The 26,267-nt window shown below is 48.2% G+C and overlaps 8 annotated features.

The window, feature by feature from the left end:
* Window positions 83–232: an enhancer, noted in NCBI's record as "active region_23848". NCBI's record gives its function as "activates an Ori minimal core promoter by ATAC-STARR-seq in GM12878 lymphoblastoid cells {active_cell/tissue: GM12878}" and the evidence as "EXISTENCE:reporter gene assay evidence [ECO:0000049][PMID:35858748]".
* Window positions 603–782: an enhancer, noted in NCBI's record as "active region_23849". NCBI's record gives its function as "activates an Ori minimal core promoter by ATAC-STARR-seq in GM12878 lymphoblastoid cells {active_cell/tissue: GM12878}" and the evidence as "EXISTENCE:reporter gene assay evidence [ECO:0000049][PMID:35858748]".
* Window positions 963–1,022: an enhancer, noted in NCBI's record as "active region_23850". NCBI's record gives its function as "activates an Ori minimal core promoter by ATAC-STARR-seq in GM12878 lymphoblastoid cells {active_cell/tissue: GM12878}" and the evidence as "EXISTENCE:reporter gene assay evidence [ECO:0000049][PMID:35858748]".
* Window positions 1,103–1,342: an enhancer, noted in NCBI's record as "active region_23851". NCBI's record gives its function as "activates an Ori minimal core promoter by ATAC-STARR-seq in GM12878 lymphoblastoid cells {active_cell/tissue: GM12878}" and the evidence as "EXISTENCE:reporter gene assay evidence [ECO:0000049][PMID:35858748]".
* Window positions 1,363–1,412: an enhancer, noted in NCBI's record as "active region_23852". NCBI's record gives its function as "activates an Ori minimal core promoter by ATAC-STARR-seq in GM12878 lymphoblastoid cells {active_cell/tissue: GM12878}" and the evidence as "EXISTENCE:reporter gene assay evidence [ECO:0000049][PMID:35858748]".
* Window positions 23,138–23,367: an enhancer, noted in NCBI's record as "active region_23853". NCBI's record gives its function as "activates an Ori minimal core promoter by ATAC-STARR-seq in GM12878 lymphoblastoid cells {active_cell/tissue: GM12878}" and the evidence as "EXISTENCE:reporter gene assay evidence [ECO:0000049][PMID:35858748]".
* Window positions 23,141–23,305: a silencer, noted in NCBI's record as "fragment chr6:434746-434910 (GRCh37/hg19 assembly coordinates)". NCBI's record gives its function as "represses an EF-1alpha promoter that drives an FKBP-Casp9 reporter gene in an ReSE screen in K562 erythroleukemia cells {active_cell/tissue: K562}" and the evidence as "EXISTENCE:reporter gene assay evidence [ECO:0000049][PMID:32094911]".
* Window positions 25,170–25,370: a silencer, noted in NCBI's record as "peak5617 fragment used in MPRA reporter construct". NCBI's record gives its function as "represses an SCP1 promoter by STARR-seq MPRAs in K562 erythroleukemia cells {active_cell/tissue: K562}" and the evidence as "EXISTENCE:reporter gene assay evidence [ECO:0000049][PMID:32103011]".

Below are 26,267 nucleotides of genomic sequence, written 5' to 3' on the forward strand. Positions count from 1 at the left end.
CTCCTCCCACACAGAGGAGTGTCTGTGAAGAGTAATCATCCTGCTCTCCCGTTAGCATCTGCCTCCTCTTCCTTTATCTGTACTTTAAAAGGTTTAGGGCTTTCAAGGAAGTTGTTTTTAATGTTTTCTTTTGTTTATATTCGAAGCTCCTCTGATTTTGGTCATTGCTAAAAAGAAGGGATATAGGTTAACTAACACTCCAAATGTGAAAATCAAATGGAAAACTGGATAAAGAGAACAGGATTTAGATGGAACCCCTGGGGATCCGTACGTCTGCTGTTGACCTCAGCTCCAAACTCTTCCTCTCTCTGAGCAGCCAGGCAAGGGAGTCTCCTTTCTCAGCTTCATCGCTTCTACTGATTACATGGCTCAGCTCCTATGCACCTACTAACTTCCAGTCCAGCAGAAAAACTCAAAGAACCAGGCTGCAGCTGCTGGTGCTAAAATCCTTGCAGCTGAAGGTTACATAGAGCTGTCAGAAAAGTTTGTAGTTTGGATCTAGAACCCCCCCTAGAATAGTAGATTAGCATAATTTTGATTTTGCTAAATGGTAAAATTTCTTTTCTAAACCCTCACAAGTTCAGTTGAGAAACTTTCCTGAAAACAAAGATCAATAAATCTTAGCATAGTGATAAGACAAAGGAGACAGCAGCTCCAGTGTTTTAAAAGGGGACAAAAATGAGAGAAGGTAGTAAAATCTGTTCCCAGATTCCACTGCTGCCTTCGCTGTTCCCAGGAAGGAAGGATTTATGTCCTGATCTCAGGAGACAGGCTTCAGCAGAGTGCTTCCCTGTGAGTTCTGTGTTCCTAACTTAACAATTCTCAATATTTTGGGGAGAAATATTTTGGTTTCCTTCAGTCCCCCCTTGAAGCTTTACTTTCAGAAAGTTTCACATGTTAAAAGCTAAGTTGGTAGTTTTGGAGAGATTTGGGTTAGAAGTTTTAAGATAAGAGATTTGGCAAAGGAGGAGGAGAACATAGTTTGGAACAAGCAGAAAGGAACCAATTTGGGTACATTGTTCCATCTCTTATTGTATCAGTCTTTCAGTCCTGAAAATAGGTCAGTTCCGTTAAATCATTGCATCCCATTTCAGAGGTGGTGTAAGTGGGCTTCCATAAGAGTTACGTCTTCCATATGGTGTAGGCACACAGGTACTTTATCAGAGACATTTGTATGGAAATAAAAAGAAAACAAAGGTCTATGTTTCAAGCAGTCTATAAGCTAGTTTCTGGAGAGCAACCAGCTGAGATTTCTAGATTTGGGTTCAAATAATTTTAAGTTGGAGTGGACAGGCAGTGGCAATCTGACAGATTTTTCTGGATTATAGTTTGCATCAGACGTTCCAGTGAAGTTTTTGTCCATAAATAAATTGTGATGACTTCTCCAAAGTTTATATCAAGTTGTTCAGCTTTCATTTGCAGGGCTTCAGGAAAGGCACGGTTTTAATTCCTAGTGATTTCAAGTCAGAAAGGTGGGAGAAAGTTGGGAATGTTAGTCTGAAGAGCCATAGCAGATATTAGAGGAAACTAAAACTTCAGGATTCAGTCCAGATAATTTTTAAAAACTCTAAAACAATGGACAGGGCTAGAATCTAATAACAGCTATGCTATAGCTGTTCTGAAACATTTTTTCTCTCTACAGTCACCTCCCTGTTTACCAAAGATAATCACAATAAGTCCAGTTTACTTACAAAACAAGTTTAGTGTCATTATATTTAACCGGATCATTTACATAAGTACAGCAAGAACAGTGATTTAACATATAAGCTCTTTTTAAGTCAGCGTTGCTGGAACTTTTCGTAAAGAATTTTATTAGATTAGAACACTAAAACCCTCTTCAGACTAGGAAGCCGTGCCACAGACTTACCAACAGATTTTATCTGAGATACCTGGGTAAATTTTTTTCTTGAGGTCTCCAAAATGTTTTGAGGTTCCTGGGCTTGTCAGAAAATGACATTATTTACTTACTGCAAGGCTAGAAGTGCTGGAAGGGCACCGCATAGTTCAGGAACAAAGTGCCAGGCCAGTTCTTTCAAGGGTTTTATTGGCTCCTTAAAGTTAACGTTCATTCCTTTAAGCAGTCTGGTCACATCTGAAAAAATGACGTCCCAGTCATAGCCTTGATGATATAACCTGTGTTTCCAATTTTTCCAGTCCGAAGAGAGCAGATTCCTAGTGAACTTATGCAAATAACTATCTTGCCATAAAAATAGAATTTCTCACATACAGTTTCTAAATCCTGGAGGGCTCAGGTAAAGAAAAAGATAAATGTTTCAATATTTGTGCACAAAAATATACTTTACAAAATTACTGTAAAGCTGTAGATTACTTAAGAGGGAAAAAAAGTTTTCTCAACTATGGAAAGAAAACATAAAAAGAATCAGCAATGCTTTAAACAAAAAATGTTGCAAAAAATCATTTTAGTCCTTCCTTGGTTTAGTTTCGTGTAATTCTTGTTTTGCTTGATTTGGGGTTACTAATTTTATGAGTCCAGTTTTTTTTTCATTAGCATTCTGGAAATTTTTAATGACTCCAATAATATGGTCTCAAAGTTGTCAGGAACCTGTATTCAAGAGTACTTCTTTCAGTCCTTTCTATGAACCTTCTTGAAGACATAACACTTTAGGATCTGCAAAGAGCTTTTAGAAAAAGTATCATAATAAAGCAATTAATAGCAGATAACAAGACTTAAAATGGACATAGTTAAAGACACAATTGACATGGAAATTTGGTTACTTTCTGTGGCTTACAACAATTTAACATAATACCCATAATTATAACTGACAACATTACCAAAACATATCAGATTTTTAGGAATCTCATACAATTTTAGAACACATATTAATAACATATCCATATGATATAGTTTGGATCTGAGTCCCCACCCAAATCTCATGTTGAAATGTAATCCCCAATGCCAGAGGAGAGGCCTGGTAGAAGGTGACTGGATCATTGGGGTGGTCCCTCATGAGTGGTTTAGCACCATCCTCTCAGTACTGCTCTCATGATGGTGAGTGAGTGCTCTCAAGATCTGGTTATTTAAAAGTGTGTAGCACCTCCCCCACTTCCTCCTTCTGCTCCTGCCATATAAGATATGCTTGGTTCCCCTTCACCATCCACTATGATTGTATGTTTACTGAGGCCTTCCCAGAAGCCAAGCAGATGCTGCCATGCTTCCTGTACAGCTGGCAGAACTGTGAGCTAATTAAACCTCTTTTCTTTATAAATTACCCAGTCTCAGGTATTTATTTATGAAGTGCAAGAATGGAGTAATATAGAAAATTGGTACCAGTAGTGGGATATTGTGATAAAGATACCTGAAAATGTGGAAGTGGGTTTGGAACTGGATAACAGACAGAGATTGGAAGAGTGTGGAGGCTCAGAAGAAGACAGGAAGATAAGGGAAAATTTGGAACTCCCGAAGGACTTGCTGAATGATTGTGACCAAAATGCTGATAGTGATATAGACAATGAAGGCCAGGCTGAGGAGGTCTCAGATGGAAATGAGGAACTTATTGGGAACTGGAGTAATGGTCGCTTTCGTTACGCATTAGCAAAGAGCCTCTACTCTAAAGATTTGTGGAACTTTGAACTTGGGAGCAATGATTTAGGGTATTTGGCAGAAGAAACTTCTAAGCAGTGAAGTGTTTAAGATGTGACCTGGCTGCTTCTAACAGCTTATGCTTATATGTGTGAACAAAGAAATAACCTGAAACTGGAACTTATATTTAAAATGGAAGCAGAGCATAAAAGTTTGAAAAATTTGCAGCCTGGTCATGTGATAAAGAAAGGAAAATTTCACTAGCACCTCTATCTAGGGTCTCAGGTTCTCATCTGACAAAGTACACAAAGGCCTTACAACCCCATGTGTCCATAGATAGAAGAATAAAAAAAGACAGTCTGTAAGAGAGGAAATCAAAAGCTGTTCATGGTAGTAGAAAGGATTACCAATGGGTACCACAAAAAGTCAAGACTCATATAAATAATTAAAAACAAGGCATTTACACTAATTTGTATAAATGTTTCTCTCCCAAGCTAAGGTATTTACTAAGGAAATCAATTTGGTGGTGGGTCTAAAGAACTTTATTTAACTCTGTGTCAAATCCAATCTCTGCTTGAATGCTGCTTAATTAATTCCCTGAATAACATTTCAAAAACATGGTAAGATTAACATCTTCCATGGGCTGAGAAAGGCTTAGAGAATTAGGCTGAAGAGTGTTTTGTCAATCTTGCAATGACTTACAGGCATTTGAAAAGTGAACTTCTCTAAAAGAAATTTATTTTAAATATAGCCAGTCTAATTTATTTCAAAGTGATGTAAACCAATAAGCCAAAATAAAAACACCAGAGTCACTATATCCAAGAGCCAATTTATACAAATAATTTTCTCCTATTTAAATTTGGAAATGAAGGAAAAAAGAAAAAACTCTTACCCTCCCCTCTCAACTGAGCACTAAAAATAGAGATGTGAAGAGCTGACGTTGGTAAGAAACCTTACCCTTTTCTGCTGGTTTCTTTCAGATCTCTCAGAGCTCCATCCATTGGCCCTAGTGTGAGCAAAGTGTGCCTTTGTGGTTGTCAAATTGAAGGAAAGAAAATATGATTTATTTTCTCAATCCTCATATTTTCTTACCTGAGACACTTTCCTGAAAAAAAAAAGATTAACAAGAGAAAAGCCAGAAGAAGTTTATTGATGAATATTGTACCCATCACCTAGAAGAAGGCCTCAGTTCAAATGTATTTCTCTCCCAGGGCAGAGTAGATGAGGAATCTTTCTTAAGTAGTATTTTAACAAAAAACAATAAATCTTAGCATAGAGACAAAGCAAAGGAGGGGGCAGTTCCAGTCTTTTAAAAACTGGGAAAATGTGGGAAGATAGTAAACCTTGTTCCCAGATTGTTCTGGTGCTTGCTGATGCCTTCTCTGGGCCAATTTCTAGTAAGGAAGGATTTATGTCCTGACATCAGGCAAATAGAGGTGGGGCAGAGTGTTTCCTTGCATTTTCAGTGTGTTTAACTTAATAATCCTCAATATTTTTGGAAGAAGTATTTTGGTTTCCTTCATAACGAAATAGAAATAATGGACAAATAAACAATCTTTCTTCTTCTTGGGGCTCCATTTGCTCAACAAATACAGGTGGACTCAAGTCAGTATACATGCATAGGCAAGTTTTTCTTCAAATAATATATCAACTGGTTATATCTAAAAGGGTATTCCAAAGGGTTTTGAGCCCTTGAGATTGCTCTGAAGTAATTTTATGTATCTCTAAGGTACCAGTGTTTATTCTCGTAAACTGTTCTGTAACTGCAGCACAAGTTTGGCTGTATTGGATTTGATTTCCTAAAAACAATGATCACCTGACAAACACGCTTGTTGCAGTGTGCCACCAGTACTCCCCTAGGCCAGAAAGACACGTTGGGTCCTGTCTCATCTCTCTGCAAAGGAGCTCTGGACAGGCTATACCTAAATTAACACAGGCAGACATATATTCTCTGTTTCAGTGTAGCATTATGAATTATATGGTGTTTGAAGGCAACCCGGCCTTTTCAGTGACCCCTCCTCCTGCCACACTGGTAGTGTGTTGGCAAAATGTCTGTCCTTAGGGAGTCCTCAAAGACTCCTTCCTTCTCTTCCCTCTGCCCTCTGCCTCTGCTCCCCTGGCTAGTCTGCGCCCACAGGTCTTGGCTGTGGCACACTCCCCTTCTGCAGGCATTGCTTCCCTTATTCCACCCTCTGTTTGGGTCTCCAAAGTGTGATATTTGTCTTGAGAAACACTTTGCCCCACTATGTCATTCCCCTTTCCTTACTCTCCAAGCAGCTGGGTCACTGGTGCTCAGGACTCAAACTGGCTGGGAATGTGAGAAAAGCTCCTTTTCCCTCCTGGCCTCCTACTTGAGACTAAAGCAAAATGCTGAGGGTTGAGGAAGGGAGAGCGAGTGCTCGCTGAGAAAGGAAGAAATGAGTGTTTAGACTTCAGCCACTCCCTGATAAAGGGGAACGATCTTCTGCCTCCTGGGAAAAACTTTGATGAGACAGCAAACTTGAGAAAAGTTTGTGGGAAGGAGCAGTGAGAACCGCAGGTTACGAAGGGGCCAGGTGGGCAGGACTGAAGGATAACTCCATGGTAACCGGCGTGGATCGATGACTATGGGGCCAAAGAGTGGGCATGCCTGGGTGTGTCTGAGCAGAAACTGCATTGAGGACAAGATCCCCTGCCCACCAGCACAGGCTCTGGCTCTGTGGGAGCTATGCCAAACTTAGCCCCAGTTCAAGGGAAGGAGAGGGAGGAGAGGGAGGAGAGGGAGGAGAGGGATCCAAAGTGAACTGAACTTGAATTTGCATCACCCTAGTGGAATATGAGCTTAAAATTAACAATTATATTGTTAAAGAAAATATGAACTACATGTCTTAAAAACTTTGGCTCTGGACTTAGATTTCTACGCACCATGTCCGCAGCATAACACTGCCCATTCTTTATTGTAATTGTCTGTTTATTAATTTGTCTTCTGTACTATAAATTCCTTGAGGAAGGGAACTGTGCTTTCCAGTAAACACCCAGTACTGGTGCAGCACCTGGCTTATAGTCAGCACCATCGAATCCTCAGGAAATGACACAGTTGGCGAACCTAGATGTCTACCATGTCCAACAGTGTCCAATAGGATGCTGGCCAAGTGATGAGCCACCTATGGCATGAAATGCTATAGAACCACTTACAAATTGTGCAGTATACAAGTATTTCATGGCATGGGGAAATGGTTGTTACTTTGTAAAGTAAAAAGAAACAGGTTTCAAAACAATGTGATATCTTTTTAAAATTTCATGGAGCTCATACATAGAATTTTTTAAAAAGAACATTCAACAGTGTAAATTATACCCCTGAGATGTGGGGTCATGGAAATTTTTTATTTTCTTGTGTGCTTTTTTGTACTTTTCAAAGTTTCTCCTGAGACCACATATTTTGTTACTAGAAAGGGAGAAAAGCACAAATGTAATCTTTCTAAGTTGATACGTCCCTTTATATTTTTTGGTGGGCTTCCAGTTTCTCAAGCTGCCTTGTGGGGTCCCCAGAGCTCTGGGGGTGGGACCAGCTCTGAGGTGAAGGGACCAGGGGCTCAGGGTCTCAGGGCCCATCTCCCAGTCCTGCCTCCATTAATTTCTTTTCCTACCATTTCCCCTTGATATGCTTTCCCCCACCTCATCTTTCCCAAGATGCTTCTTTGTCCTCTGAGCTATGACACTGAGGATGAACGCTCTCTCAGCTTTCTGGCTGCAGCTGCCTCCATGCAGGGACCCCCAGCCTGTGAACTTCCCTCTGGCACCCCCACTCCCCCATGCGGAAACTCCCTCGGCCACCCGTTCTCATCCCCAACCCAAGCGGGACCTCCCTCCCCCACCAGCACCCCCATGCGGGACCTCTCTCCCCCACCAGCACCCCCATGTGGGACCTCCAACCCCCACCAGCAACCCATGCGGGACCTCCATCCCCCACCAGCACCCCCATGCGGGACCTCCCTCCCCCACCAGCACCCCCATGCGGGACCTCCATCCCCCACCAGCACCCCCATGCGGGACCTCCCTCCCCCACCAGCACCCCCATGCGGGACCTCCCTCCCCCACCAGCACCCCCATGCGGGACCTCCATCCCCCACCAGCACCCCCATGCGGGACCTCCCTCCCCCACCAGCACCCCCATGCGGGACCTCCCTCCCCCACCAGCACCCCAATGTGTGACCTCCATCCCCCACTAGCACCCCAATATGGGATTTCCCTTCCCTCCCCCACTAGCACCCCCAACTCAGGACCTCCCTTCCCCCCTCCCACCCCCATGTGGGGATCTCCCTCCATCCCTAGCACCCCCATTGTGGGATCTCCTTTCCTCACCTCCAACCCCCATGTGAGAACCTCCCTCTCACTCTCACCCCCATTCTGGGACCCTCCTGAGTCTCTGCCCTTCCTCAGTCATCACAGTCTCTGTACAGCTAGGGACTGACTCTTTGCCTTTGGCCCTGCTGTTTCCCCTCACGCTAATGTCAGCATTTGGGGTTGCCTGGAAACAGGAAGGATAAGAACATTGATTCTTCTTTTTTATTTGTGGAAAATATGCATAACATAAAATTTACCATCTTAACCATGTTTAGGTATACAGTTCAGTGGCATTAAGTAATTCACATTGCTGTGCAGCCATATCCAGCATCTGTCTGCAGGACTTTCTCATCTTCCCAAATTGAAACCCTGTCTCCATCCCACACTATCTCCCCATTCCCTGGCCCCTTTGCCCCCAGCCCCCACCATTCTACTTTCTATCTCTATGAAACTGACTACTCTGGATACCTTGTATGCGTGGAATCCTGCAGTATTTGTCCTTCTGTGTCTGGCTTATTTCACTGAGCTTGATGTCCTCCAGGTTCGTTCATGTTGCAGCACGTGTCAGAATTTCCTTTCTTTCTAAGGCTAAATCATATTCCATTGCATGGGTGGACCATATTTTGTTCATTTATCTGTCCTGAACACTTGAGTTGCTTCCGTGTTTTAGCTACTGTGAATAACGCTGTTGTGGACATGGGTGGACAAATGGGTCTTCAAGACCCTGCTTTCAATTCTTTCATGTGTATACCCAGAAGTGGAACTGCTGGAGCGATGAAAATTCTATAATTAATATTTTAAAGGTACCACTGTACTGTTTACCACAGTGGCTGCATCATTTTACATTCCCACCAGCAATGCACAAGGATTCCAGTTTCCCCACATCCTCACCAACACTTGTTATTTTCTGAAGAACATTGATTTTTTTAAAAAGGATTCATTCCACAAACATCTTCTGAAGACTCCCCATGTTCCTGACCCTCCCTGCTTTCCAGGGATAGCCAGCTGTAATCGCACAGCTTCTGTGTGGGTGCAGGAGGCCAGCAAGCACTGAGACAGACGCTACGGGCAGGGCATTTCCGAGAAGGAAATATTTTCATTCTCCATTTTTAAGGTGAGAAACTGAGGCCCAGGAGTGTAAAGCCAGTACCCTAATATACAACTACTAAAAGAGGAAGCCAGGATTCAAATCCAGGCCTTTGTGGTTTCATAGCCTTATCTCTTAATTCTGATGCCAGCCTGCCTTCCCTTCCACCATTGACGTACCAAGAGTCAGAGAGGTGGCACGGTGTACCTGTATCCACACCACTGGTGAGCAGCCCTCCAGCATCACACCCAGACTTTCTAAGATGCTTGGTATCCCACAGATGGGAGCCAATTTCTTTAGGTGGGGAAAGAGAATGGGAGCAGAGAGAACAGCCTGTTCCACAAAGAAAGGAGAAGAACCAAGAGTTTGGGATTAAGCATAAAGGTCTAATTAACATTTATTAGGTGCTAAGTGCACTGCCATGTGTCAACTCCTGTAATCCTTGAAGTAATCCTGGGAGACAGGCATTTCATTTCTCACCTTACAGATGGGGGCACAGAGCACAGGGAGGATCTTGAGAGGGTCCCATGGTCAGCAAGTGTTGGTGAAAGGATATCATCCTGGCTGGTCCTACCCAGGTGCTCCATCTTCATCCTATAAAACTCTCTGTGCTTTAGTTTCTTCTATGAAACAGGACACCTATTTCATAGGGTAGTTGTCGGGATTAGTGATAAAGTGCTAAGAGTAATAGCTGGGGCACAGTTAATCCTATGTAAATATTGGCGAATTGTCTTAGTCTGTTGCCTGTTGCTATAATGGAATACCATAGAGTGGGTAATTTACAAAGAAAAGTATGTATTATTATGATTCTGGAGGCTGGGAAGTCCAAGAGCATGGCACTGGTACCTGGTAAGGACCTCCTTGCTGCATCATAACGTCGCATGGCTGAGGGTGTCGCATGGCCAGAGGGCATGGGCACGCCAGCTCAGGTTTCTCTTCCTCTCCTTAGGAAGCCACCAGTCCCATCATGGGGGCCGCACCCTCATGACCTTATCTAATCCTCATTACCTCCCAAAGGCCCTACCTCCAAATATCATCAGCAAATCAATGTGGGGGTTAAGTTTTCAACACATGAAATTTGGGGGACACATTTAAAGCACAGCAGCTATTACTAACTTGGTATTCATTAGAAGCTCCTTTGAGAGTAGGGCAGTACCTTCTTACCTCAGTGTTTCCTAAATTTTAGTCCTATTTACACTGCCTTCAAACTTTTGATTATTTATTTAAACATTATTTAATTTAAAAATATGACTATTATGCATTTAGTATCTGTTATCTATTTAAAACATTACTTCTTAAAATACTTTTAAAAGTATTGCTATTTTCTTAAAACTGTTGGTTTTAAACATTTTTCTTTAGACGAAGTCTTACTCTGTCACCCAGGCTGGAGTGCCATGGCACCATCTTGGGTCACTGCAACCTCTGCCTCCTGGGTTCAAGCAATTCTCCTGCCTCAGCCTCCCAAGTAGCTGGGACTATAGGCATGTGCCACCACACCTGGCTAATATTTGTTATTTTAGTAGAAATGGGGTCTCACTATGTTGGCCAGGCTGGTCTCAAACTCCTGACCTCAGGTGATCTGCTCATCTCAGCCTCCCAAAGTGCTAGGATTACAGGCATGAGCCATTGTGCCTGGCCTAAAGTTAAATATCTACTTTAGCACCATGTTGAGCAATAAAACGTGTAAAAGCCACAAGTTTGATGGGCCAATGATATATCTATTTTCCAACATCTTTTTTAAATAATTAATAAGAATTAAAATGCCTTTAGATGCATCTGAAGTCCTCTGGATTCCGAAACCCGTGGCAGGTGTAGTACTACTCCTTAGAGAGACACCAAATTCCCATCTGTCTCCCATGGTGCCTAGCATCTGCTTTTGGGGCCTCATGCTTATCAGATGAACAGAAAATTTAATCAATTAAGAATTAATTACTTGATTGATTATTGACTTCAGGGGAGATCTTCATTTTTACCCTGTAACTTTAATCAGTAGGTCAAGTTATAGACTGGAAGGAGGGGTTTCCTCTTTCTCTGACCAACCGTTTTCTCTGATCGGCCATAAATCTCCAACAAGCAAATCTCTCTGAAACCTGGTGACTGGATGCTTTCCTACAATTTCACAGCTTTGTTGGAAAATTCTGCCTTCCTTCTGGATAAGGAACATAAAGTCCTTGTCCATGGTCAGTCTCATAGATTGATTTACATTTTTTCCATGTTGCTGAAACATGACTCTTCTCTGTAAATGATTACATGTTGGAGTCTTTTCCTGGCAAAAAAAAAAAGAGCCAAGAAATGCAAACAACTGAAGCTGAGACACTCACTTCAGAGGTGCCTGAACATTTTAGTCATCCCCGTGGCTATGTTTGCTTGGGTGACCTCGCACCGGAGCTTACTCACCACCGTGTGATTTTGTGACCACATAACTTTTGCTCAATGTTTTAAAGGTTCATGAAACAACCAAGAGGCCTGCTTTCCCTCATGTTCATAAGCAATGGCAAAACAAAATTCAGGGTTTTTTTTTTTTTTTTTTTTTTTTTTTTGACATTTAGGACCCAGGTCATGATACAAAACATTGAACTTTAAAAGATGTTTAGGTTGAAAATTTTAAAAATAGATTTTAACCGTCTAAAGGAGAGAATAAGCAGAATGAGAGATGGAGTGACGTCCCCTCTCAGCGTGAGCTGCCTGGCCACATGCAGCCAACCTGGACCTGGCCGGCTGGTCACTTTGTTCTTAGTCTCCTCTGTGCTGGGAGGCTGTCCCTCCCCTTCTACCTGGTTCCTTCCACCTGGAATCAGGCGCTAGTTCATGTCTCCCCTCACCAGTGACCACAGCCAGAAGAGGAAGGTGAGTGGAGGGGCCATGGGGCTTCCATGGGCTTGTGGCCTGCCTGCCTGGACGGAGTCCCTGCTCTCCCACTGCTCTGTTCAAGACACTCTGGGTGAGGAGCAGGGAGCCCTTGTGCCTCTTACTCTTGATCCCAGACTTTCTTCAGCCTCCAAAGAGAGACCATGTGTGGCACAGGATGCCACCTCCTCTGTAGGATGGAGGCAGGGAGCCCTCACAAAGTCCCTTTGGAGCGCAGAAGAAAAACTCAGCTATGGAACAAGGTAGAGAATGGAAGCACGTTAGTGCTAGCAGAGTCTGCCTGAGACCTGGGTAGGTCCCCAACATTTGGGACGGCTGTTTTTGTCCTGGAGTTTGAAGGAGAAACCCCTGAAAGATGGGTGTGGCCGCGGGGAAAGAGGTGGGGTGTGGGCGGAGGGGGCCTCAGGGCAAGGCTTGGGGTGCGGCGGGGGCTGCAGAGGCTCCCAGTGCCGTGAGACGCGTGGCCGCGGGGCCCGTGCTGGCTGGGACCACCTCCAGGAGCCCGTGGGTGCCCGGGAAGAGGGCAGGAGGTGCTGGGCCCTGCTGGGGAAGAGGATCGGTAAGGACTTGCAGGTGACTTTGCTCGCCTGTCCTGAACAGGGCACAGGGAAGGCTTCCCAGGGCCGTCTCCTTGTGGCCTGGCTCCTGCGGGCCCCGAGCCAGCCCTTCCCGGCCAGCCCAGCACAACAGCCCCGCCAGTCCGAACCAATGGAGAACTGCTTCGCGATGGGAAGCCGACACCAGCAGCGAAAGCACAACTTCCGGCCAGGGGAAAAGCACACCTCCAACCATGCGGCGCTAGGCCTCGGCTCTCCAGTCCGCAAGGTCCTTTCCAGGCCGCCGCGGGCGCTGCTGAGCTCTGGACCGGACTGTCCCGCCCTCCCCGCCGAGGAAGCCCCCCGCCGGGCCTTCCCGCCCTCCCCGCCGACGGAGCCCCCCGCCGGGCCTTCCCGCCCTCCCCGCCGACGGAGCCCCCCGCCGGGCCTTCCCGCCCTCCCCGCCGACGGAGCCCCCCGCCGGGCCTTCCCGCCCTCCCCGCCGACGGAGCCCCCCGCCGGGCCTTCCCGCCCTCCCCGCCGACGGAGCCCCCCGCGGGGCCTTCCCGCCCTCCCCGCCGACGGAGCCCCCCGCCGGGCCTTCCCGCCCTCCCCGCCGACGGAGCCCCCCGCCGGGCCTTCCCGCCCTCCCCGCCGACGGAGCCCCCCGCCGGGCCTTCCCGCCCTCCCCGCCGACGGAGCCCCCCGCGGGGCCTTCCCGCCCTCCCCGCCGACGGAGCCCCCCGCCGGGCCTTCCCGCCCTCCCCGCCGACGGAGCCCCCCGCCGGGCCTTCCCGCCCTCCCCGCCGACGGAGCCCCCCGCCGGGCCTTCCTTTCTGCGTTACCCTTCCCGTGCTGGGCCTGGCGCCTGGGTGTCAGGGCCTCCTCCTGGGACAGAGGAAGGGGCCAGGCTCCCTCTGCAGACAGCTCTGGGGCCTACTCCGCGTTTCCAACCAGCACCGCAGGAAACCTGCGCACCCAAAGGCGAAAAGCGGGCACAGCAGGGCAGAAGGGAGCCGTGGCCAGGGAGGAGGAATGCAGAGACCTGCAGAAGAACCAAAGCTAGCTGCAGAGAAACTGGAGCAGGGATCTGGGGGTCCCAAGGCAGCGGTCCTGGGCAGAACCCCGCTGAGGCTTGTTAGGAAACAAGTGAAACTGTCAAAACCTGAGACTCCCTGGTGTGCCTCCGCCAGGCAGCTCCAGAGCTCCAAGTATTGTGTCTGGAATTTGAGTTCCTGCTCTCACTGACTTCAAGAATGAAGCCACAGGCCCTCACGGTGAGTGTTACAGTTCTTAACGTCAGCATGTCCAGAGTCTGTTGCTTCTGATGTATCGGATGCATTCGGTTTCTTCCTTGTGGTGGGTTTGTGGTCTCACTGGCTCAAGAGTGAAGCTGCAGACCTTTAGTGCGAGTGTTGCAACTCTTAAAGCTGCACTTCAGGAGTTGTTCGATCCCTCTCAGTAGGGTTATTGTCTCATTGGCTTCAGAAATGAAGCTGCAGACCTTCAAGATAAGTGTTACAGTTAATAAAACCAGTGTGGACCCATAAGAGTGAGCAGTAAGCAAGATTTATTGCAAAGAGAAAAAGAACAAAGGTTCCACAATGCAGAACGTGACCCGAAGGAGTTGTCGCCGCTGACTCAGGCAGCCTGCTTTTATTCTCTTATCTGGCCCCACCCACATCCTGCTGATTGGTAGAGCTGAATGGTCTGTTTTGACAGGGCGCTGATTGGTGCGTTTACAACCCCCAAGCTAGACATAAAAGTTCTCCAAGGCCCCACCAGAGCAGCTAGATACAGAGTGCCGATTGGTGTATTTACAATCCCTGAGCTAGACGTAAAGGTTCTCCAAGGCCCCACCAGATTAGCTAGATACGGTGTCCACACAAAGGTTCTCTAAGGCCCCACCAGAGTAACTAGATACAGAGTGTCGATTGGTGCATTCACAAACCCCGAGCTAGACACAGGGTGCTGACTGATGTGTTTACAAACCTTGAGCTAGATACAGAGTGTCGATTGGTGCATTCACAAACCCTGAGCTAGACACAGGGTGCGGACTGGTGTGTTTACAAACCTTGAGCTAGATACAGAGTGCCGATTGGTGTGTTTACAATCCCTTAGCTAGACATAAAGGTTCTCCACGTCCCCACTAGACTCAGGAGCCCAGCTGGCTTCACCCAGTGGATCCCGCACCGGGGCTGCAGGCGGAGCTGCTTGCCAATCCCGCGCTGTGAGCCGGCACTCCTCAGCCCCTGGGTGGTCGATGGGACTGGGCGCCGTGGAGCACGGGGCGGCGCTCATCGGGGAAGCTCGGGCCGCACTGGAGCCCACGGAGAGGGTGGGAGACTCAGGCATGGCGGGCTGCAGATCCCGAGCCCTGTCCCGCGGGAAGGCAGCTAAGGCCCGGCGAGAAATCGAGTGCAGCGCCGGTGGTTTGTCACTGCTGGGGGACCCAGTACACCCTCCGCAGCCGCTGGCCCGGGTGCTAAGCCCCTCATTGCCCGGGGCCTGCAGGGCCGGCCTGATGCTCCGAGTGCGGGGCCCGCCAAGCCCACGCCCACCCGGAACTCGCGCTGGCCCGCAAGCGCCGCGCGCAGCCCGGGTTCCGCTGGCGCCTCTCCCTCCACACCTCCCTGTAAGCTGAGGGAGCCGGCTCCGGCCTTGACCAGCCCAGAAAGGGGCTCCCACAGTGCAGTGGTGGGCTGAAGGGCTCCTCAAGTGCCGCCAAAGTGGGAGCCCAGGCAGAGGAGGCGCCGAGAGCGAGTGAGGGCTGTGAGGACTGCCAGTATGCTGTCACGTCTCAGTGTCACGCAGACTACTTGCAGGCAGGAGAAAAAGAGGCTGCACAGCACGGCTTCCTGCCAGTCAAAGGCCTAGGAGCAGCCCTGGGCTCTGCACTCTGTGTGCGGATGCAAAGGCACAGGGGGAGGAATCTGGCCAAATGCAAGCGCCCCTCACTGGGCATCTCTGCCTCCTGCCCTGCTTCTGCCAAGGCAGGCCTGGGGTGGGGGGGCCAGGCCCCAGGGGCCAGAGCCAAGTGTCTGCTTCTCTGCTGTTTTTCAACAGAGCCACCATAAAAAATACATAAACTTCTAATGAATTATATTAGCAACAAAGGTAATCCATACTCCAACTACTCATTACTTCCTGATTTCTCAACTGCATTTACTAGCATCTCTTCTTTAGAGGCGGTTTGTGTGTATTGCCTCTGTGGGGTGAAGGGTGTGCTGAAGTGCAGACTTTTCCAGCCCTGCGTTCAGAGGCATCAGGCTGGGAGCTTGAAGCTGGTGGGAGTATTTACACCACAGGGATGGGCAGAGACTGCACATCAAGGCTTGCTCCACCCCCTCCTCCATGCGGCTTGCAAGCCATGCATCAGCACACCCTGGGTGGGTTTGATTTGCTCTTCTGCTCCCCATTCCTTCCACCTTTGGTCTTAGCAGCTTGGGGCTACTAGGGTGAGAAAGAAGGACAGCAGAGATGGAGAGGAACTGAGGTCTCTCCCTCTCTGGTAATATCATAATACAGCTTTTTCTTGGACAACTCTGGCTGGCAGAGGTATCCAAAGGCTGGCTCTCGTGAATGAGTCCTAGGTGAGGCAGGGGGAAAGTCCCCCAGGAGCGTGGTTTGTAGGGATGGAAGGAGAGCTCTTGGAAGTCCCATCCCTGCAGGCCCTGCCCAAGGCACTTTTCCGGGGGTGGGCCAGCTCAGGCAGGCCAGGCCACTTCTGTTGGGTCCACTCTTGCCTCCCCGCACCGGGGCTGCCCCACATCTGTCTGTGTCTGCCTTTCCTTCTCTCCAGGCATCTTTCCCCACTTCTCAGACATTGGGGCCAGGGAGATGAGAGTGCGTGCCTCTTGGGTGCAGCTGTCTGCAGGCTCTGTGTGTGTGTCTTGGAGCGCCCCTCCTTTGACTGTGGCAGGGAAAGAGCAGCCCACCACACTGGCCTTGGGAGGTGGGAAACCCACTGGGTTCTCTCCAGCCACGGACACTCCTTGCTGTGAGGGTGTCCGAGCCTCCCTGCTTCCCCCTCCCTGCACCAGGCATCTGCCTGGCCAAACCAAGAGACGCAGTGCTGACACTGGATCTGAGGAGTCTCATGCCATCATCTTCAGATTTCTTTCAAAACAGGCTTCTCCTTGCCTCTTTGCCTTGATTACGCATGGCAGGCGATTCTTGAGCAACAGCCATGGCTCTGCCATCCCAGCGCACCACATTTGAAGAAGGAGCAGCTGAGGGTTGGAGTGCAGGCGTGTTTGCTTCCATGAGGACTGCCTCTGCCTCCCGGGACAGTGGGGTGGAAAGAGCTGCATTTGTCCCAGTTGGAGAGGGGTGGCAGGACAGAGTCTCGGCTAGTGTGTGCAGGGTTTCCTCTGCAGAACCAGGATGCCCTGCTACAGGCTTAGCCAAGAAAAAAACAGGAAGCCCCTCCCACACTGCCCAACACACAGAAGGCGCTCAATAAACGGCAGCCATATTCAGCATGGGAGAAGGAGCACCAACGCACAGGGACGTGGCCACACATGTGCAGCTGCTCTCAGTGGGGAAGATGCCCAGCGGGCTCATGTGCATGTCTCTGCCCCCATCTTGGGGCAAGAGTTGTTTTTTAGGGACCACTTTGCTGCATAGCCAGGGTAAATGCCCACTGCCCTCATGCCCATGAATCACGAGTCCCTGGAAGCTGTGGGAGGTGAAAGCACCTTACTGCAGGCCCTGCAGGCCTGACAGGAGAGGGCCCAAGGAGACCTCAGTTGTCCAGACATGGCACCCGTGGAATCTCTAATGGGTCCAAGCAGCAGCACAGTCTCGAGCCCTCTACCTGCCGAGACACCTGCTGCACTGGTTAGGAAGTGGCTCGATGGGAGGCAGCGGCACGGCAGCCCTTCAAACATGCGTCCCCGCTCTCCTGCTCCTGCTGACCCTTCTTTTCTTGAAACCCAACATTTTCACTTCCTCAGGGGCAGGGAGGCGTGAATAAATAAAAATAAAATCTGAAAAAGTAAAAGGTAGCCCAAGCGGTAGGCTGCGTCCCCGTATCCCTTGGCCCTCTGCCAATATCCCACAGTTCCACTGGACCATCTCTACTGAGTTCGGGTGTCTCATCTCTTCATTATTTCTCTCATGCATGTTGCCCAGGCTTGAGAAGGATTTCTTTAATACCAGAGAAGTCATGTGGAAATGAGACCCCAGTCGAGTGGTATAACTGTGGGAGTGACGACCGTCTCCGGTCCTGTCCTTCATCCCAAGATGAGCAGACTCCATTGAGTGAGTCGTGGCACTGCAGGAGAGAAGCAAGCGCCGCCTTCACTCCTGTGTCCTGCTCCTAAAATGTTGAACATCAAACAGAATTCTCCAGGCGCTAACTGAGCAGAGCACACAGGGAGGCAACCACCTTGCTTTTTCTAGAGACTGGCTTCCACCAAGGCAGCTGAAAAAATGGGCAGAGTACTGTATAAACAGAGGGTGCCTGCTCTGGAAGCTGTGAGGCTGGAACCCGAAGGGAAATGTTGCAATGGGTACAATTGTTACCCTGCATGTTTATGCCAATGATGTTATTGTCTTCATTTAGTCATCTTAAATTCAACCGTTAAGTCATTATTAGTAATTCTAATTTCTTGTTTAATTTCCATGCAAGGTACGACTTCCCTGTAAAATGCACAGATAGAGGCAGTGTTCTATATTTAGTGAGAGAGATATTATCTACAAATTACAGGGAAACAATTACATCAAGGTCCTCCATTGATGAAATAAACCACAAGAAAGAAATGAAGAGTAAGAGAGGAACACTGTGCTAAAAATGGTTAAGAACCAAAGCCAGTTGACTCTCCTCCATCTGATGATCCCTTTACCTCCACAAGTCTCCCCAGTGAATGAGAAGCATGGCCTTTGTGCCCTTCAGGATTAAGGGAACAGCACTAGCATCATAGCAGTTTCCTCTAGACCCTGAGAAAGCCATTGTCTTCTCTGCTGGACAGTGATGTCTCCAAACCACAAACCACCAGGGTAACTGGCTGTGTTCTTAGGAGAGACAAGAAGCAGGGCACAATGTCTCTTTGGGTGCCTAAAACCAGGCATCCAGAGAGAGCTTCCTGCCTTATACCCGGTCCAGTCTTTCACATTCTTTAAGAGGGAAACTCAGGTAGCATGCGGGAAAGGGACCTGCCCAGGGCTGGATGGCTGATGGAGCAGAGACTGCCCAGGTCCTCAGCGTCCCTGACATGTTCTTCCCTTTCAGAATAGGAAACTCTCTCTAAGTTTCTCCTAGCAGTTGGTGTCCCATAGAAACTTGATACAGCCTGCAGATGAGAACCCTTCTGGGAATTTCTTAGTAGCCACATTCAAAAAGAGTACAACGTAACAGTTGGAATTAATTTTAGTAATCTATTATAGTAATCTAATATTATTACTAATTTTAGTAATCTATTTTATATAATCTAATAGTATCCTTTCAACATGTATGTACTCAATCAAAGCAATGATTAATGAGATAGTTAGTGTTCTTTTTGGCACTAACCCCAGTGTGCATTTCATATTTCCTGCATGTCTCGGTGCAGACCAGCCCCCCTCAAATTTTCAATGGTCACATGTGGCCAGTGGCTATGGTGTTCAACTGTGAAGATGAGGACATACCTCTGGTCAGGAAGCACAGCCTGGGCTCCGATGCTGGTGCTGCTCCTGCTTACGGATGTGACTTTAGACATCGTCCTATCCTGCTGGAACCCAGGCTTCCTCAAGTCAAAAATGAGGGTACAAATACCTACTCCACTAACCTGTGAGGCCTACATAATCCCATAGAGTCCAAGATCCCCAGGAGGCATCTTTCTTGGTGCCTGGCACACAGAGGTATGCTGAACCCTATTGCTATTATTAAGAGTTGTGCCATTCATTGGGTAAAATTCTTTCTAGGGGTTCTAGGAAATACATCCTTTCTCAGATTTTCATCGGGGTAATTCAGGACCACATTCTGGTAGAGATCATCAGTTGTGAGTAACACAATTTGATGTTTGAAAAAACATGTATTGAAAACCTCCTGGGTAGCAGACATTGGGCTTGGATATGGGAGCTTGATGTTTAAAAAGACATGGTTCCTGGTGGTGAGGGAGACAGCATTTGGGAACTCCCTGTACTTTCTGCATAATTTTTCTGTGCGCCTAAAACTATTCTGAAAAATAGAGCCTATATATATTTTGAAAAGATGTGGTCCATCATTAGCCTGACTGTACCTTTGTACAAATTAGACAGAGGCACCTCTTTCTGAAACCAATTTTATTGCCAACAATCAGAAAGTTGTGCTAATAAATGTATATGTATTACATATATGTATATATTTATAAATACACATACAGCGACCACAATGTGAATGATGCTTCGGAATTGTGCAGCATAAAACCTTCACAACAGTGCACAGCAACCCTCTTTACCATCAGTCAACTGGAGGAAGCAGACACACAGTCTAACTGCTAGACTAACAGGCAGGATGAAACAGGTCCAATAACAGTGGGAAAAATGAGAAGGCAGAGGATAAAGAAGGAAATCAGCCCGGGAAGAAAAGTATATGGAAGAGGTGAAGAAAGAAAGGGGGGACTGAGGCGAATGGGGTGAAAGGCAGTGGTGGGTGTCACACTCCCGCTCTGCCACGTTTTGTTATTACTGCTTCCTGTGCACTGAGTATCTGTCGATGTACTCCTGGGCATGTCTCTGAGGACTGGGGATGCCCCTGGAGCCATGTGGTCTTGTGAAAGTAAGACATTGAGTTAAGCTTTCTAGCTCTGCTGGGACAACATTAGACCAAGAAATGGGTCTCTGCTCCGGTAGACGCATCACCACCATCTGAAACAGCTTTAAAACATGCTCTGCTCCCATAGAGAGAGAATGTCGTTGGCCCGCCAGCACGAGGGCTCCGGCAGGTTTGTTTCCCAGTGGTAGGAGACCCTTAGTTCATTCATGCCACCTCTTTTCCTAGATACTCATGGAAATATGTGCTTTGAGGATGGCTGACACCTGCTTGGTATCCACTGGTTTCAATGCCATGGCATTGGCCTTCTTACCCCTTTCACTAGACAAATAAGCTAAACTAGCCTCAGACCCACGCAGAGCTGCCACCTCTGTTCATTTCCCTGTGAGTCATCCTTAATGAGCTACAAAAACGCATGACCCAGGCAGCCATGCAGAAGCCAACACTAGAAATGCATGTCCTTCCCGCAGGGTGGTGCGGTGGGGGAAAGGAGAGTTCCGAATAAGCGCCTGCCTTTAACTTCCTGAAGTCAGGGTCAAATCCAGCAGCCACCTCAAACCACACCTTCACAGGAACAGTCATAGCTTTGCAAAGAACTGAGAAGAGACAGTTGTATGTGACCACATCCAGCAGAGGTTACACTCACATCCCAACCAACCCTGTAAAAAGACCACAGGAGAAAAGTCAGAGCGCCACACAACAGAACCAATGCAGCCTTGGCCAACTCATGGAGCATATCAGGAGATGTGGGCTTGGAGAGCCACATCTTTTTTCAATGTATATATAATTTCAACTTTTGCTTTAGAGCCAGGGGGTGCATGTGCAGGTTTGTTACATGGGTATATTGCCTGATGCTGAGGTTTGGGATACGTTGGATCCCATCACCCAGGTACTGAACATTTCACCCAATAAGTAGTTTTCAACCCTTACCCCACTCTCTCCCCGACCTAGTAGCCCCCAGTGTCTACTACTGCCAAAACAGTCAGATGTTGAAGATGGGTAGGAATCTCCATTTCCATTGTGCTTTTCCAGAAATATTCTATGTTCATGCTGCCTCTCAAGCTATATTGTTTGTGGTGACCGACATAAGTAACAAATAATCAAGAGCATCCATGGGAATGCTGCACACCAACAGCCAGACAAAGACTCCCTCCTCCAGACATCAGTGGTGAGTGGGCGGAGGAGAACCTGTTACATCTGCATGTTTGAATATTTCGTGAGCAAATAAACCTCCACCTAGGAAGATATGTGGATGGCAGATAGGCGCATGGAAGGCTGTTAAATGTCATTCATCATTTCAGAAATTCAAATTCAGTTACAAGGGGCTCTGCAGTCCTATTAGAATGGCTAAAACGGGAATGAAAACATCTGGCAATACCCAGTGTTGAAGAGGACACGGAACAACCAAAACTCTCATACGCGTTGCTGGCGAAAGTGAAAAATGGTAAACCAGTTTGGGAAACAGTTTGGTGGTTTCTTATTCAGTTAAACATATGCTTACCATCTGACCAAAAGATTCTGCTACTAGGCATCCCTTAACCAAGAAAGATGAAATCTTATCTTCACATAAGCATGAATTAATTTTCAATGCATTTAAGTGGAAGAAGCCAGACCCAACAAACTACCTACTGTAGGTTTCACTTATACGACATTCTGGAAAAGGCAAAAAATAGTAAGAACAGAGGAGAGATCAGGGAATACCAGGGGCTGAGGGTGGGAGGAGTCTGCCCCAGGGCAGCATGAGGAGGGACCCAACTGTTCAGCGCCATGCTTATGGTAGTGCTTATGGTAGTGCTTACCCAATTTGATGCACTGCACACCAGAAAGAGTGAATTTGGCCAGGTGCGGTAGCTCACGCCTGTAATCCCAGCACTTTGGGAGGCCAAGGTGGGCAGATCACCTGAGGTCGGGAGTTTGAGACCAGCCTAGCCAACCTGGTGAGACCCTGTCTCTACTAAAAAAAAAAAAAAAATACAAAACTTAGCCAGGCATGGTGGTACATGCCTATAGTCCCAGCTACTCAGAAGGCTGAGGCATGAGAATCGCTTGAACCCAAGAGGTGGAGGCTGCAGTGAGCTGAGATCACACCCCTGCACTCCAGCCTGGGCAGCAGAGCAAGACCGTTTGAAAAAATAAATAAATAAATAAAAAATAAATTTTACTGCACCTTTCTTTTTAAAAACAAAAAAAATAAAAACCCTACGTCAAAAGTAGGCATTTTAGTAGCTTCGGATCTGAGAAAAGTTGTTTTCCCACTGAGGAATGCCATAGTATTCTGTTTTTCAAGTACATAACGTTCCTAGAAGAGCCAAAATTAAACTTAAAAAAGAAAAACAAAAGAAAAAAAGAAGCTGATGTAATTGACAACTTTTATAGTCTCCTCGTTTCATTCAGGTCAGTAAAGGATCAGCAAAGAGAAGCAAACATTCAGCATGCCATGGCTGGGACCCTAAGCACCACACAGGCCAGGCTAGAAAGTGCCTCCTAGACCCAGCATGCTTTTGCTCACAGATGCGTAAGCTAAGGGCGTGTGAGCCGCAAAGTCGGGCCTGGGCTTCAGCCCTGCTACTGCGACTCTGCCGGGACAAAGGGAGGCACTGATCCCCACAGGCCATCCCAGACACTGATACATTTTTGACTTGCCAGCATCTTCGCTACCTTCTCTTTCATTTTCCTATAATCCCGTTTCCTTTCACAGCATGTTCCCTAGGTGAGGAACAGCAAGTACCTGTAGGTCTGGAACGAGGGCCCAGGGCCACGAAAACCAGCCATGGGATGGAACAGGAGGGAGAGAGGAGGGGATGGACATGGCTTCTGTGTCTGGGACCACACGCTTCATGTTTTTTCTTCCCTTGGCATTTCTGTCTTGGCACAAGGGAAGTTTCAAAACAGCAGGAGCGAAGTGTTTTCCAGCTATGGCCAGGCACCCCCAGCACTGAACACAAGAATGCTAAACAAAGTCCTATGGTCATTTTCCTTAGGCCCTCCCGCCCCCAGGCTTTCTCAGAGATTGTGGAACAATGGAGCCCATGATTTTAGGATGCAGCTCAGTCCCTGGAGGCACACAGGCATCCTCCCTCCACCTGTGTGTCCAGAATTGGCGGGTTCCTGGTTATCACTGACTTCTAGAACGAAACCACAAACCCTCGCGAGGAGTGTCACAGTTCTTAAAAGTGATGTTCCTGTTTCCAGTTTCTTTCTTCTGGTGAGTTCAGTTTCGCCGGCTCAAGAATGAAGCTTCAGACCTTCACAGTGAGCGTTACAGCTCTTAAGGCAGTGCCTCTGGTGGGTTTGTGATCTTACTGACTTCAGGAATGAAGCTGCAGACCTTTGTGGTGAGTGTTACAGCTCATAAAAGCAGTAGGGACCCAAACACTCAGCAGCAGCAAAACTTATTGCAAAGAAAGAAAGCACAAACTTCCTACTATGTGGAACCAACCCCGAGTGAGTTACCACTTTTGGTTCCTGCAGCCTGCTTTTATTCCCTTACCTGGCTCTCTCTCCCTGCTCCTCCCCCGCCATATCCTGCTGATTGGTCCATTTTACAGAGAGCTGATTGGCCCATTTTGACAGGGTGCTGATTGATGCGTTTACAATCCCTGAGCTAGAAACAAAAGTTCTCCAGGTCCCCACTAGATTAGCTAGATACAGCATGCCGATTGGTGTATTTATAAACCCTGAGCTAGACACAGAGTGCTGATTGGTGCATTTACAAACCTTGAGCTAGATACAGAGTGCCGATTGGTATATTCACAATCCGTTAGCTAGACATAAAGGTTCTCTAAGTCCCCACTAGACTCAGGAGCCCAGCTGGTTTCACCCACTGGATCCTTCAGAGAGGCCGTAGGTGGAGCTGCCTGCCAGTTCCGTGCTGTGCGCCCGCGCTCCTTAGCCCTTGGGCGGTCGATGGGACTGGCGCCCTGGAGCAGGGAGCGGGGCTCCTCCGGGAGGCTCGGGCTGTGCAGGAGCCCACCGCTGGGATTGGGGAGAGGCTCAGGCATGACTGGTTGCAGGTCCCGAGCCCTACCCTGCGGAGAGGCTGCTAAGGTCCGGCGAGAAATCGAGTACAGCAGCTGCTGGCCCAGGTGCTAAGCCCGTCACTGCCCGGGACTTGCGGGCCAACTGGCCACTCCGAGTGCGGGGCCCCCCGAGCCCACGCCCACCCGGAACTCGCGCTGGCCCGCAAGCGCCGCGCACAGTCCGGGTTCCCGCCTGCGCCTCTCCTTCCACACCTCCCCGCGCAAGCTGAGGGAGCCGGCTCTGGCCTTGGCCAGCCCAGAAAGGGGCTCCCACAGTGCAGCGGCGAGCCGAAGGGCTCCTCAAGCACAGCCAGAGTGGCCACCAAGGCTGAGGAGGCGCCGAGAGCGAGCGAGGGCTGTGAAGGCTGCCAGCACGGTGTCACTTCTCACCTGGGCCTGGAGCGGCATCTTACTCATTCTGTATTCTCAGGCACCAACAAATAGCTTGGGATGTCACGGATGACTCAGCTAGATGTGCTTAAAAATTAAATGCACGGTAACGGGGCTAGGACTGCCACCCCTGGCTCCACTTCTCAAAGGAAGGGAGCAAGAATTCTATCAGAGATACAAGGTGGCATTTTGGGGGACAGAGGTTAACTCAGGTGGACTATTTTCACTGAGCATTTGGATGACATACACTTGGGATAAACATTTTACCATTCCAATGAGAAGAACCCTAACTGCAGAGCTGGGAAGTAGTACAGGGAAGGAGCTCAGTACCCTGCGGCCCAGCAGGAATATGCCGGGCACTGTGTGTGCATGCTCCATCCATTCTTTACAAAGCGGCCTTGCGGTGCCTGAGACCCCTATGGGCAAGCTGAGCAGTGGAGGAAGACACAAGAAGAGGCAGCAGCCCACGAAGGGCAGCAGGAGGGCCACCGTGAGGGACGGAGCGCTGTGACTCATCTCTCCACCGACGCCCAGTTTTCATCTCTGCGGGCTTGATCAACTCAGCTTTCACGGGGAAAACGCCCAGGTCAAACACAGTTCTTCAGTTATTAGAAACACTGTGGTTTCCCCCAGTTCCCTGGTCTGAGCCACCGGCATGAACTGAACACAAGGCAATCCGCCAGCAAGCTGGTCTCATTTGTTTTTGATTAGGATGTGTTGGAATGGGAAAGAAATGTTTCTTTATCAGTTGAGGTATTAATAGACCGACGGAGGCCTACAGAGCTGCAGAGGCAGGATTTCGAGTCCAGGGGCTCCTCTGAGGCGTTGGCAGGGGCAGCGCATCAGCAGCCGTGACACTGCCCTCGCCGTGTGGCATCCTCTTGAGTTCCGTCCTTCAGCGCAGTTCCCTCCCAGGACAGGCCAAGCCTCATCTCATTCATGAGCTGGGAAGCTCCCATGGAAAGTCCACATCCTTTGGCCTCCGTGCCCAGCTCCAGGCCCAGGAGACGCCTGCTGCGCCAGCTGTGCTGCTATCTGGGCACGCATTGTGTGGTGGTCACAGATCTAAGTTTCTGTTTCTGGGATTCACAGGCAAACAGTCGCATCCATTTGCCACCACATACAAGTGCTGAACCAAACAACGCCTGCTGACTGGACTCTGAGTAATATCTGGCTGTTTCCCTAAATCAATTTCACTGGAAACAACTGTGAATGTTCAAGAGAATGTGTTTCATTCTGCTCTGGAATGAGTCCAGGAGAGAGCACCAGGGGTCTCAGCTAGGTGCAGGGAATAGAAAGATGAAGGAAGCACCAACATCAATTTTTTTATGTACACATAATATAAAAATGCACCATTTTAACCATTTTTACGTGCAGAGGTCGGTGGCACCAAGCACCTTTTCATGGTTGTGCAACCATCACCATCATCCTTCTCTAGGACGTTTTCATCTTCCCAAACTGAAGCTCTGTCTCCATTAAATACCAATTCCCCATTCCTCTTCCACCAGCCCCTGGCAGACACCATTCTGCTCTGTCTCTACGAATTGACTGCTGTAGGAGCCTCACAGAAGTGGAATCACACAGTGTTTTTTCCTTTTATGACCTGTTTATTCCATTTAGCAAATATCCTCAAGGTTCATGCATGTTGTAGCATGTGTTAGAATCCCCTTTTTTTTGCCATCTGAGTAACATTCCATCATATCATATCATTCCACATTTTGCTGGTCCATTCTTCTTTTGATGGACACTTGGGTTGCTTTCTTTTGAC

The sequence above is a fragment of the Homo sapiens genome, chromosome 6 (genome assembly GCF_000001405.40).
Source record: "Homo sapiens chromosome 6, GRCh38.p14 Primary Assembly".
Taxonomy (NCBI): Eukaryota; Metazoa; Chordata; class Mammalia; order Primates; family Hominidae; genus Homo; species Homo sapiens.